This window comes from Homo sapiens, chromosome 13 (assembly GCF_000001405.40).
Source record: "Homo sapiens chromosome 13, GRCh38.p14 Primary Assembly".
In the NCBI taxonomy this organism is placed as follows: domain Eukaryota; kingdom Metazoa; phylum Chordata; class Mammalia; order Primates; family Hominidae; genus Homo; species Homo sapiens.
The window spans coordinates 39,368,242-39,381,437 of record NC_000013.11 but is presented as its reverse complement, the minus strand read 5'-3'; the positions used below and the strand labels follow the sequence as shown (position 1 = coordinate 39,381,437).

The 13,196-nt window shown below is 40.0% G+C and overlaps 1 protein-coding gene across 2 annotated transcripts in view; it reads left to right on the top strand.

Annotated features, from left to right (window-relative positions):
• The window catches only part of LHFPL6 (LHFPL tetraspan subfamily member 6), a 260,302-nt gene that overhangs the window by 221,756 nt on the left and 25,350 nt on the right, over positions 1 to 13,196 (top strand). For both annotated transcript variants that reach the window (XM_011534861.2, NM_005780.3), the window contains exon 3: positions 2,912 to 3,010. In XM_011534861.2, coding sequence (XP_011533163.1) covers positions 2,912 to 3,010 — 99 coding nt within the window. The remainder of the gene's footprint in view (positions 1 to 2,911; positions 3,011 to 13,196) is intronic.

Below are 13,196 nucleotides of genomic sequence, written 5' to 3'. Positions count from 1 at the left end.
GTGATTGTTAAAACCAAGGTCCCTGGTTACAGTATCACAAAAACAACCCAGAATTCCACAAAAGACTCTGACTGCCAAGTGTTCTGCCCCTTGGAGAGCCCCTGGCCTAAGTGTTCCATATGTAAGCTCCTTTCTATTTAGTGTCCCAAAGTGACTAGCATAAGACTGGGCCAGACTAGGTGTTTTCATGACTTCATGGCACATAGTTTTTACTCGTAATGAACATTAGCAAATAAAACTGTTTTTCATTTACTTGTCAGGTAAAGAGGAAATTACTGATGGCTTAAGTCAGAAATCCCCAACCTTTTTTACACCACGGACCAGTTTCATGGAAGACAATTTTTCCACGGACTGAGTGGAGGAGGGTGGTTTCAGGATGATTCAAGCACATTACATTTAGTGTGGACTTTATTTCTATTATTATTACACTGTGATTATATAATGAAATAAATATACAACTCACCATAATGTAGAATCAGTGAGAGCCCTGGGCCTATTTTCCTGCAACTAGACAGTCCCATCTCAGGGTGATGGGAGACAGTGACAGATCATCAGGCATTAGATTCTCATAAGGAGCATGCAACCTAGATCCCTTGCATGCATAGTTCACAATAGGGTTCGTGCTCCTACAAGAATCTAATGCTAGGCCGGGCACAGTGGTTCACACCTGTCATCCCAGGACTTTAGGAGGCTGAAGCAGGCAGATCACCTGTGGTCAGGAGTTCTAGATCAGCCTGGTCAACATGGTGAAACCCCATCTCTACTAAAAATACAAAAATTAGCTGGGTGCAGTGGCAGCCACCTGTAATCCCAGCTACTCAGGAGGCAGAGATGGGGAGGCAGAGGTTGCAGTGAGCTTAGATTGCACCACTGCACTCCAGCCTGGATGACAGTGCGAGACTCTGTCTCAAAAAAAAAAAAAAAAAACTGATGCCACCACTGATCTGACAGGAGGCAGAGCTCATGTGGTAATGTGAGCAATGGGGAGTGGCTGTAAATACAGATGAAACTTTACTTGCTTGCCTGCTGCTCACCTCCTGCTCTGTGGCCCATTTCCTAACAGACCATGGACCCATACTGGTTCATGGCTCGGGGGTTGGGTCCCCCTGGCTTAAATGTTACTATTTTTCTTACACTTAAATACTTCTTGTCCAGATGCCTTTCTGCATTTGTCATCCTTTAAAAAAAATTGTTCACAAGATCTTCTCAGAAAGTGGTGCTACCTATTAATTTAAGAACTGAGTATCGCAGACATGATACCTCATTGTTTATTAAACATTCATGGAATTCATTTTGCACAAAGCTTGGCATCCTCATTAATAATTTCTTTACTTAATGGTGCCCAAAACTAGTTTGGAGTTGTCTTTAGAATGCTGTACATTCTATCCCAAGGGGAAAAGCCTAAGGAAATTGGCCACTAGGACATTTGCCTCGTCAGCAAAAGCTTGTATAACTTCTTTCTAGATTATTCTTCAGCTTCAACATAATTCATATTTATGCAGTTGCATGTAGGACATCCTGAGACTAGTGATTCATAGTTTCAATCATTCTTTCTAGCACTCCCACAAGTAGATGGCCCTCTGCCTTGCATATAGAAGGCCCTTCATGTCAACCAAGGGGCAGACTGGGGAAAGCATTACCAGGGTAGGAAATGTATCAGGATGGGTGTGGGGGTGAGGGAGGCCTTTCCTTAGGGAGGCCTTTCCTCAGGGTAGTTGAGGACAGGGATGGAAAGTAGCTAGCTCTCCTTTAGTTACCTGTAAGGAAACAGATTATTTGTATGGATTACTACTGGTCAATTTATCCACCAGGGGTGACTGACTGGGGTAGGGAGGAAAAAGACAAAAGACGGCCCGGAAGGGACTTGGTGCAGAAATATTGAAGATCTCCTTTCCTAGATACATTCCGGGCCCTGCCATCCTCTTCCACGTTACCATATTAATGGATTTTCCTATTTAGGGGGCTCTGTCATTTAGCACCTGATAAGCCACTTCCCCAACATTAGACTATGTATCTGTTGGTCCTATGGGTTCAGCACATTTGTGGTACTCACAGATGTTGATAACACCTGTGATTGACACAACAAGATCTTACTTTCAGATTAGCCCACAAATTCAAATAGTGAGTGCTTAAATCTCGTTTAGCTTCTTGTAAAACCATGTTAGGCTTTGATGCAAACTAAAGACTCACCAATTGAAAGCTGTCAGCTCAGAGAGTGCTGCCAGGATAACTTAATCTATATTAAGAGAAAACCATCACTTTCTTTGGTTTAGTCATCAAAACTTTTGGTTTTAGCAGCAAGGGGTGCTTAGATTATGATAAATGTCTGTCTTCCTGAGACTTTCTGAGATGCGTGGATGCTCAGTGATTCTCCACATCGCCTAATAATGGGCAGTACCGTTCAGAGGTTTGATGAATGTGCTGAGGCCATTCATGAAACTCTTTATGTTCTTTCTGCCCCTGGGAAAATTTGACAACACTGAATCATTCTATTTTATTCTTAAATAGGAAACAAAAATCTAGTGAATAAGAAATCATAACCTATTAGGAACTTTTGCTTGCTCTTGAAATACTTGTTTGCATGGATTAATGGTGGAATTGGTTGGCTTTTTGCAAGAATGATTTAAAAAGCTTCTGAATTGTATTTCCTAAACAGGATTTGCAAGGCTTTTAATGCTTTAAAAGGCAAAGTTGGACCCAAACTGAGCTGTCAAGTTTTTTTTTCTTTTAAGCTGACTTGAAATTGTTGTTGGAGTCAAACTGACCTTAGATTGCTTAAAAGAGTTGTGGCTGGTGCTGTCTAAAAAGCAGACGCTATGGTCTTGTTATATTGCTAAATATTGATCCCACCACCTTTATCTAGTGATGCAGAGAAGCACTGGTAAAGCCCTCTTGTCTTATCTCTTTGCAGGCTTGTTGATTGGTGCTGGCTGTGCCCTCTACCCCTTGGGCTGGGACAGTGAGGAAGTCCGGCAGACTTGTGGCTACACTTCTGGCCAGTTTGACCTGGGTAAGCTTTCTTCATGGATGGCACTCCTTTTAGAAAAAGAACCTTATCTGATGTTTCATAGAAGCAGAAAGTGGAAAGGGGACAGATAAGAAAAACCTCCCTGGGTATTACAGCCAGTAGTCACGTGTAACAATATAAATGTATCCATTTATTTAGTGAAGAGTTATTGATAATCTACTGTTTGCTCAGTACTATGATGAGTATTGTAGATACAAAGATAAGAAATGGCCCCTGCCCCGAAGAGTTTATACTCATTGATCACTTCATTTTTCAAAATCATGTATTTTTTACCCATTGCATGGGCTAAAAATAATTCTGTAGAATTTGCAGTCTGAGAAGAGGTGACAACAAAATAGTCAAGGAAATGATAATACAAGCTAAGCAATTCAAAGCAATTTCACATCGTTGGTCTAATAAGGCCACTTTGTGAAAGAGGTGAGAATGGAGTTCAGTCTTGAACAAAGTGCTACATATGGATTATCAGGATTAGATGGAAGCACTTTGCAGGTGAGGAATACAGTATAGCAAAGGCACAAGGAAAGAATGGGAAAAGCTCATCAGGAGACCACAGGGATTCCAGCAACAGGAAGAGTCAGGTGCTACTCTGATAAATGTGATGATTGGGTGAGAGTCTGCACATTGATAAAAGGCTCTTAACTCACAAATTTGTTTTTCTGCAGACTAATAAGAAAATTTCAGTTAGTTTTCATTTGTAACCATAGTGTAGTCTACTTACTTATGTTGCGATCTATAAAATATTTTGCAGAATACTCCATGGTTTGCGTCATTTTAATTTGTAATAATTGGGTAATATTTCACTTGCTTGATAAACCTACATTTACTTAACCACTTTCTTATTTCTTTCTAGCTGGGCATTTAGTCTATTCCAGTATCTGTTGTTTTAAGACATGTTATGATGAGTAGTTTAATGAATATAAGTGCTTTTCCTACTGAATATTTTCTTAGAATCTTTTTCTAGAATTGGTATTACTAGATCAAAGAATATGAACCCATAAAACACTTATCATTGTATGGGAAAAGAAATGTATTTTCTCTTCCCCATTGCTAGATTCAGACCTAAGGCTCCTATAATAAAAGGCAGATTAACAAGAGAAAAGCATACAAATTCGTTTAAAATAAAATTTTCATGACATAGGACCCTTCGTAAAGAAATGAAGACTTGGAGAGGCAGGTAAACCTGTATACTTTTTATGCTAGGTTTAATGAAGAAGTGGGATTGTTCTGGAAAAGTATGATTGGACAAAGAGGGTATGATCTAGTGGTAATAAACTGCAGAACTTAGCAAGACCTGTTTGTTCAGACTCCTCTCTGTGTCCTTGTATTGCCGGAGGTAAGAATATTCCTTTCTTCTGGGTATGGTGAGAGCGTCTTTCCAGTGGTGGCTTTATGATCTGCTTCAGAGGAAGGTCAGATAATCCTTTCTAGGTTTTATGATCTGCTTTAGGAGAGAAGAGCAGCAGGGGAAGGTGAGAGAGACTTTCCTGCTTCTGCTGCTTTCTCAAATGTCAAGGTGCTGCATTTTACGGTAGCATGTCCTGAAGCCCATCATTGCCAAGTGATAGCAAATATATTTTCCCCTACTATATGGATGGACAGACTGAGATTCTCATAATTAGTACATAGTCAGTTACTAACTTAGACATCTACTTTTTACATTAAATACTTTAAGAAGAAAAATTGTGAGGGAATTGATCTAATGGCAGTATTACTATATTCCAAATATTAATTTTAAATTTTTATGTTAGAACATCTATGAAAAAAAATTCTGTTAGATTCTGAGAAAAAGGGACAGAAAAAAAGTATTAAAGGTCTGTGAATTTGAAAATGAAAAAATGAAGCAATTTTTATTTGACTTCATGGGTGACAACCACTCTACTTCCGTCGAATATAATACTGGCTCTTCTGGTAGAGAAGACTGTTCTAAATACCACCTAATTTGCATGGATAAAACAAATAAGAGATTTCCTTTTACCTATTCTTCCCTCTTTGATGACAAGGCTTTCCTAAATCTGGTTTAGTTTGGGTTTGCCATAAATGTAGAGAAGGGGGAAAAATACTGAAATGCTGGCATGCAAAGCTGACTGCCAGCTTTTTTTTGGAAAGCAAACTGTGTCTAGGGGAGATATTTTAATACAGTGCTTGGCATTTTTCTTTCCCTGGTGTTTGAGGCATTCTTGGCTGTTCAACACAGGCCTCAACTTGATCATGATCCTGTGTATGCTGACCTGTTGTTATTGTGTATTGCTATATTAATTAGCAGATTATAATGAAGTTCAGGTCCTGTTATTGCAATTTTCATTACTGCACCTCAGTATTTTGTATGTCCCCAGCATTGTGGAATAAAACTTTGAATGTCAAACTAAACGTTGAAAAATACTTGCCTCTTTACTAGTGGTAATTGTTTTTTAATGTTATTATACACTCTAAAACCATTCTGGCAATTTAAAAAACTATAAAGTTGTTTTCATTTCTGATCATGCGTTTCTAAATTTCCTTAGATTGGTTAATGAGAAAAAAAAAACTGGCATCATCCACAGATAAAATGAGTTCTAGGTCCACTGCATAAGTTTTTTGGGGTTTATCAAGGTCTGTTTCTCTAGGTTACTGTTATCTTTGTGGACTCTGTTATCTATTCTTTGAAAAGAAGACCTAAAGAGAAAGTGTGGCATAGAGATATCTCTAGGCCCATCCCACTTCACTTTCCTTTTTTTTTTTTTGAGACAAAGACTCACTCTCTCGCCTAGGCTGGAGTGCAGTGGAGAGATTTCAGCTCACTGCAACCTCCACCTCCCAGGTTAAGCGATTCTCGTGCCTCAGCCTCCTAAGTAGCTGAGATTACAGGCACCCGCCACCAGGCCCAGCTAATTTTTATATTTTTGGTAGAGATGGGGTTTCGCCGTGTTGGCCAGGCTAGTCTCGAACCCCTGACCTCAAGTGATCCACCCACCTCAGCCTCCCAAAGTGCTGGGATTATGGGCATGAGCCACCCTGCCTGGCCCATCCCTGTTCACTCTCTATGCTTTCTACCTTTTAGAAATCATTACTGTTCCCCTGAACACTAATGAAAGTTGAGCTTCAGTTACCTAGTGAAGTCACAAATTATGAAGTTAAATAGGGAGCGTACCTGGAACTGTAGCTGGTGGGCTGCAGCATGAGGTCATGAGTGAGCATTCTTGGTTAAGATGGCTCCAGCAAACATGCTGCTTGCCTCTGCCACACCTTGCCTCTCAGATTCTGAGAATCCAAGTTTGTTTCTGCCTCTTCTCAAGGGAGACAGCACGTAGACACATCTTCCTCCCAAGGGTTGTGAAATGTTAATGTTATTAAAGCTCATGCCCTTCTTATTGGAGAATACGTGTCTCTTTGTTGACGTGCTGTTTTTGATATGTTGTTACTCTCTGATCTGGAGCATCCTGAAAGAAATAATTGCTTTTACTCCTACATAGAAGATTATTTAAGTAGTGCATTTATCTCAATTAGTCAGCCAACAAATATTTATGGAGTGCTTATAATGAGCCAGCCCATGGGCTAGGTGCTGGGGATGTGGCATCAGCAATGAATAAAAAATGACACTATTCACTGCCCTCAGGGAACTTAAATTAGCAAGGGAGGCAGATGTTCAAAAAGATAATATAAATGTGAAGTATGTTAGAAAGGAAAAGTGTTGGGTGCTAGAATGGAAATTGTGGTTGACTTGCTGACATTATTCCACACTAGTTGTTGCATCTAAGCCAGAGGTTGGCAAACACTTCTATAAAGGGTCAGATAATATCTTCCGCTTTGTGAGTTATATGGTCTCTATTGCAGCTACTTAACTCTGCAGAAAAGATAGATGGCCCCAATAGAACTTTTTTTTTTTTATAATTTCAACTTTTATTTTAGATTCAGTGGGTACATGTGCAAGTTTATTACATGAGTGTATTGCTTGATGCGGAGATTTGGGGTATGATTGATCTAATCACCCAGCTAATGAGCATAATGCCCAAGAGTTAGTTTTCAACCCTTGCCCCCTCCGTCCCTCCCCTCATAGTAGTCCCCAGTGTCTATTGTTGGCCACATATATGTCCATGAGTACTTAGTGTTTAGCTCCCACTTATTAATATAAATGAGAACATGCAATATTTGGTTTTCTGTTTTTGTATTTACTCCTTAGGATAATGGCTTCCAGTTGTATCCATGTTGCTGCAAAGGACATTATTTCATTCCTTTTTATGGCTGTGTAGTATTCCATGGTGTGGAATACTACATTTTCTTTATCCAATCCACCATTGATGGACACCTAGGTTAATTCCATGTCCTTGCTATTGTGAAGAGTACTTTGATGAACATGTGGGGTACATGAATCTTTTTGGTAGAATGATTTATTTTCTTTTGTATATATATCCAGTAATGGGATTGCTGGGTTGAATGGTAGTTCTTTATTAAGTTCTTTGAGAAATCTCCAAACTGCTTTCCACAGTGGCTGAACTAATTTACATTCCCACCAACAGTGTATAAGCATTCATTTTTCTCCATAGCCTCGCCAGCATCTGTTGTTTTCTGACTTTTTAATAATAGCCATTCTGACTGGTGTGAAAGGGTATCTCTCATTGTGGTTTTCCATTTCTTTGATAATTAGTGATGTTGAACATTTTCTCATGTTTGTTAGCTGCTTGCCAATTAAACTTTATTTACAAAAGCAAGCAGTGGAGCCATAGTTTGACAATCCCTGATCTCAAGCAAAGAATACCTCTGGTGTGCCAGAAATGGTTACATTTCAGCTGTGCTCGTTTATTGATCCCTGCGGCTCTCAAGGCAGCTGGTCAGGACCCAGGATAGTTGAAGACTGCACTGAGCAGCCCCATCCAATTACCCTAGTACGCTGTATAAATACTACAATTTTCTTGTTGAGTGGCAGTGGGAAGGAAGGTGGCAAGCACTGTACCTCAGCCTTTGTCAGCCCACTGCTAACACTGACATAGAATGGGAATGCGTAGCCTCATTTGGACCAGTGAGTCTAGAGGCATCTTGGGGAAGAAGGGATCCTATGCCTAAGGGAGAGGCCACACATTCCTGGCTCACCCCCTCTGACAGCCCCCTCTGACCATGGGGACCTGCAGGAGTAAGCAGCCTGCAGAGGAGTGGGCAGAGAAACCAGTCTGTGGAGCAGTCATCCCTGAAGCTGGCCTTCCCTAGGAACGTCCAGCCTGTGTTTTATGGAAACAAAAAACACAGTAATTTGTTTCCATATTGGGTGATGTTTGAGGCCTGTTTACTCTCGCAAATGAAAGTAGCCTGACTTGTATTTAGTTGCTATCTCATATTTCAAGGGGACCTAACCTCACCTGTGAGCTTCCTCAGGAAGTATTATACAGGCGGAGCTCTCAGCCCTTGTAGGCTTTAGGTAGGTAAAGGGTTTGAGTCTGCATGTGGTCTGGGGTGACATGGAGAGATAGGTTGCAGAGAGGGCAGGAGGAAAAGTCAGGAAGGAGGCTACTTTATGTACTGCTTCCCTGTTTGGACAGGTTTTAATTCCAAGTATCAGCCATGGTACAAAATAATACTTGAAGAGCCTCCCAAGGTCAGAACATTTAAACTGAGTTCAAAAATATAAGTAATAGTTAGGCAAGAAGGATTTCATAAAAACCTCACATTTGTAGTTGTAGTATAATGTGTAGGAATCTGAAAGAACCTACTTTAAAAAATACCTCTTTTCCTTAGAAAGGAGAATTGGAGAGAACTTTTTTATATGCCTTAAAAACAATCTTATAATCCGATTGATTCTCAAGCATTTTTATATTTTATTAAGTGCAGCGCTCTGAAGCAATCTTGCAAAAGTATTCACTTTCACAAATCAAAGTCTGTTACTCTGCTTACTTTTGGATCACGCTAATTTATGAAGAAGCAAGGAGTAGGTGTGAATCCACACATTTTTTTAAACAGAGAAACAAGAATTCAGACAGGCTGCATAATTCTTTCTTTTGCGGTTTAAACAAGTATCCAGTGTGATTTAGGTGTAAGTGGTCAGTGAGCATACTTGAAAAAAATCGTCCTTAGTTGTATAGAAAAGTATTTTTGTTTTGTACTTGCCTTGCTTAACAAACATTCATTATGTTTTGTATAGACTAGGATGCTTTAGGTTTAGGTTATACAAGTCTGGCTCAAACAGGCCAAAACAAAGAAGACGTGTGAGATCTCTTATTATAGCAAGGCAGGAGCTAAGGTCAGCTACAGACTTGACTGACTCAGGAGCTCAAAGATGTTTTCCAGGGCCCATGTTCAGGAAGAACGTGTGAGATCTCTTATTATAGCAAGGCAGGAGCTAAGGTCAGCTACAGACTTGACTGACTCAGGAGCTCAAAGATGTTTTCCAGGGCCCATGTTCAGGAAGAACTGTCTGTAGACTGGCTGTAACCATCCGCCATCTGTAGGCTGGCTTCATTTTGACGTTAGTTCTCCCCATGGTTGTAAGAGCGTTTGGCACTTGTGGCTTTAAACATCCTTGTTCATGCCAAAAGGAGAGGACAAGCTTCTCCCCAGAAATGGAATCAGAGTCTCTCTCCTCACTCTAATTGGGCCAGCTTTGTCATGTGTCCGCTCAAAGGGATAATGGCTGCCAGGGAATGCCACGTGCTTCTTATGGTTCAGCTTAGATGCACTTAGAGTTTTATAAGATTTGATTTTACTGAGAAGTAGTGGGATTTGTAAGAGGAAGATGAGATAAAAAGGAGAAAAGGCATTTTAGTCTTTTCTTTCTTTTGTCAGACTTCACTGTCTGTGGTCCTATCATCAGTGTAGCCTGTGGTTGTGGACAGAGGGACAGTCGTGGCAGGTGTTAATAATGCTGATTTTTATTTATTGCTTTTTGAGAGAATAAAACAGTATAAATGATAAGAATACATAGTGTCACAGCATCTGGCACATAATAAAAGCCCAGTAATGTTTGCAGTTGGACAGGACCATTTAAATGCATATTGGCTGATCAATCTTTATTCTTCCTTTTACATTCCGCAACAGTAAGTTTGGGTTTACCCATTAAGCATAAGGGCTTTATAATCAGGTTATCCAATTGATTTAATTCATGCCTCAGAGATATTCTCATCCACCAAAGACTTTTCTAATTATATCCTTGTGATCAAAAGTAGTGTTTCAATTAATTTGTCTCGCTATTTTGCCAAGTAAATTTGAGTAATTATTGCTTTCATTTTGCTATTTAATTTGATTAAGAAGCCATCATGGTTCCTGTTCTTGAAATTATGCTGGTGGCTTCTTAAGAGCAGTGCCGTAAACTGGAAACTCAGAGCCTCCCAGTGTTGATAAAGATGAGAGTCTGTTTCTTCCAATTTTCAATCAAAGGAAGAAATCTCTTCTACTTTAATCTGAACACTGACTGTCCCACATCTCTTTAGACACATATCCTTTAGCTCTTTGACTCCTGACTCATGCCGTCTTGCCTCTCAAATCTAATCATACTTGAGAAAAATCTGTTTGCAATTTCTGGCTAGGTCAGCTGGGTAAAAATGCAAACAAAAGTATAATTTTTTAAAAAAATTTTGAGCTCTTGGTGTTAGTGGATGCTTCTCAAGCAAGAGAACCTGCTATTGGTCTCTGTGACATTCAATATGACTCGCTTCATTTTGTCCAGAAGTTAGAAAGCTCCTATGACTCCTGTGGACTTTTCGGGTTGCTTCATGCTCAGGCAGGCCAGGCAGCTCTGTGCAGTTTCTGCAGGCATCTGCGTTGTGTGCCAGAGCAGGGTTCTCCTGACTCAAGCAGCAAGTGTTTGCAGAGAGCGGCAGTTAAAGTGTCTGTCACTCAGCTCAGGAAGAGACTCCTAACACTTGATGCACTGGTCATTGCTTAGAGTAAATGGATTATTCCATTTTGAGATTGCTATTTGGGAGGTTGGTTAATAGTAAGGTATTGAACATGCATTGAAATGTAGGCAAATTTAAGGCCGTTAATGCAGCAATGATGTCCTACCTCCCAAATGACTATTAACTGAATATTTTCTAAACTTTTGACACTTAAATCCAAGTCACTGGAAGTCATTTAGAAGGTCCAGCATGAGCCTGGATTTCCTCACCCAGAGCTCTAGCACAGAATCACAGGAAAGCCAAGCAGCTGCTGTGAATTCAACAAAGACCCAAATTGTATAGGAACCCATGGGGGCACTCAGGAACTTGGCTCCAAATGATGCAGGGAAACTTCCGCGTCCAAGGGAGCCCACCCTGGCCAGTGATGACATGACTGAGCAAAGTGTTCAGGCACCCGCAAGGCAACAATAATAAGCTTTTCTGGTCACTCAGCCTTTCTTAGGGGCCTCTTTCCATCAGATGAAGAGTTTTCTGCCTTTACTCTAGAAGTAGGGAGAATGCCACATTTTTTCAGGGATGTTCATTCAACCTGCCCATTCCAGTAGGTTCCACGTTTTCAAAATCAGAGCCAGAACATTTCTATTTTATAACTTAGTAAACACCTCTTGTCCTGCTTTGGGAAAAAGGACCCCACTCTGTACAATCATAGATTCAATTTGATCTGTTTCCCTAAACACAGTTTTGCAGATCCCAGATGAACCTGTGGGATAGGATTTTTCAACTTCGGTGCCTAGCTTGGTGTTTGGTGTTCAATAGATTCACTTACTTCCTCAAGCAAATATTTATTAAGCACATTCTAGGCAACAAAAGTTGTGCCACAAACAAAATTGTGAAGAAGATAGACATAATTCTTACTGGCATGCCATATATCTGCCATCTATTGAATGGTTAAAAAATTAGGAGGGAGAATGAGAGGAAAGGAAAGGGGGAAGGAAGGGAGGGAGAGAGGGAGGAAGGAAGGAAGGAAGGAAGGAAGGAAGGAAACCTACTATGAATTTTTGATCACAGAAACAGCAGCTGCCATCATGTTTCTGTATATATTTGGCCACTGATATCCTACCAAGAATCATGGCATCACTTTTTAAGGGACTAATGGCCTAACCACCTCCCAAAAAAAAATTTAAAAACCAAGTCAGGGTAATCATTTAAAGAACCAGATACCCTGATAGGTGGAAAAAAAATTGCTCTACATTCTTTTTTTCTCAAGTCTATTTTGGCTTGGTTATTTCAGTGTGGATCATTCCTACTCTTTTATTTATGCCTTTGTAAAGCTTCATTCAGTGGCTTGCAGAGATTTATAGCAGGGAAATTCAAGCAATTGTGGGAAAAAGGAAATCTCTTAGAAAACCTGTGGGAAATAAGATTTCTTGAGATATGGTTACAAAACTATTGGGGAGAATATGCTAGTCTCTCTTTTAAAGATTCTTCTTTTTTTTTTTTTTTCAGTGTTGTCCTTTTATTAGTTTAAAAAAAAAAAGACGTACCTGAGTTTGCCTTTTCAGATGTAAAGTACTTAAGGACATTTAGGAAATTGAGCTGTTTCATTCTAATTATTTTTTGTATTATGTGTTCTCAACCATTATATTCTTTCCCATCATTTCAGCCAGAATATATAAAATATAAAACAGAAAGAAGCCCCTTTTTATCATTAGTGGCTCTGTTGTCAAATAGTCATTCCTGAGACCTGTGGACATTTATAGAATGCTGTTGCCATTTTAATAAGAAATCAAGACTGAAATAATTTTTTTGTTCTTTCTGGTTTTGTTGTTGCATTGCAATTGTTTTATGTCACAGTTATTGATTATTCATTGCAGTCATTAATGATGCCTGTCTCTTTTTATTCTCTCACTTCTAATTTGTGCCCTTTCTAAAGATCATAAATCATTTTAAAATCATGCTATGAAGGAACAATCTTCAGTCCTTTTTTCTGAGGATTTTGTGTCTTTTTTGATGTTGTTATTGTTGTTGTTGAGACGGAGTCTCACTCTGTTGCCAGGCTGGAGTGCAGTGGCGTGATCTTGGCTCACTGCAACCTCCACCTTTCAGGTTCAAGAGATTCTCCTGCCTCAGCCTCCAGAGTTGCTGGGACTACAGGCGTGCACCACCAGACCCAGCTAATTTTTGTATTTTTAATAGAGACAGGGTTTCACCATGGTGGCCAGGATGGTCTTGATCTCTTGACCTCGTTATCTGCCCGCCTCAGCCTCCCAAAGTGCTGAGGTTACAGGCGTGAGCCACCATGCCCAGCCTGTATTTTTTTTTTTCCTCCACCGCCCACTGCAACCTTTGCCTCCTGGGCTCAAGTGATT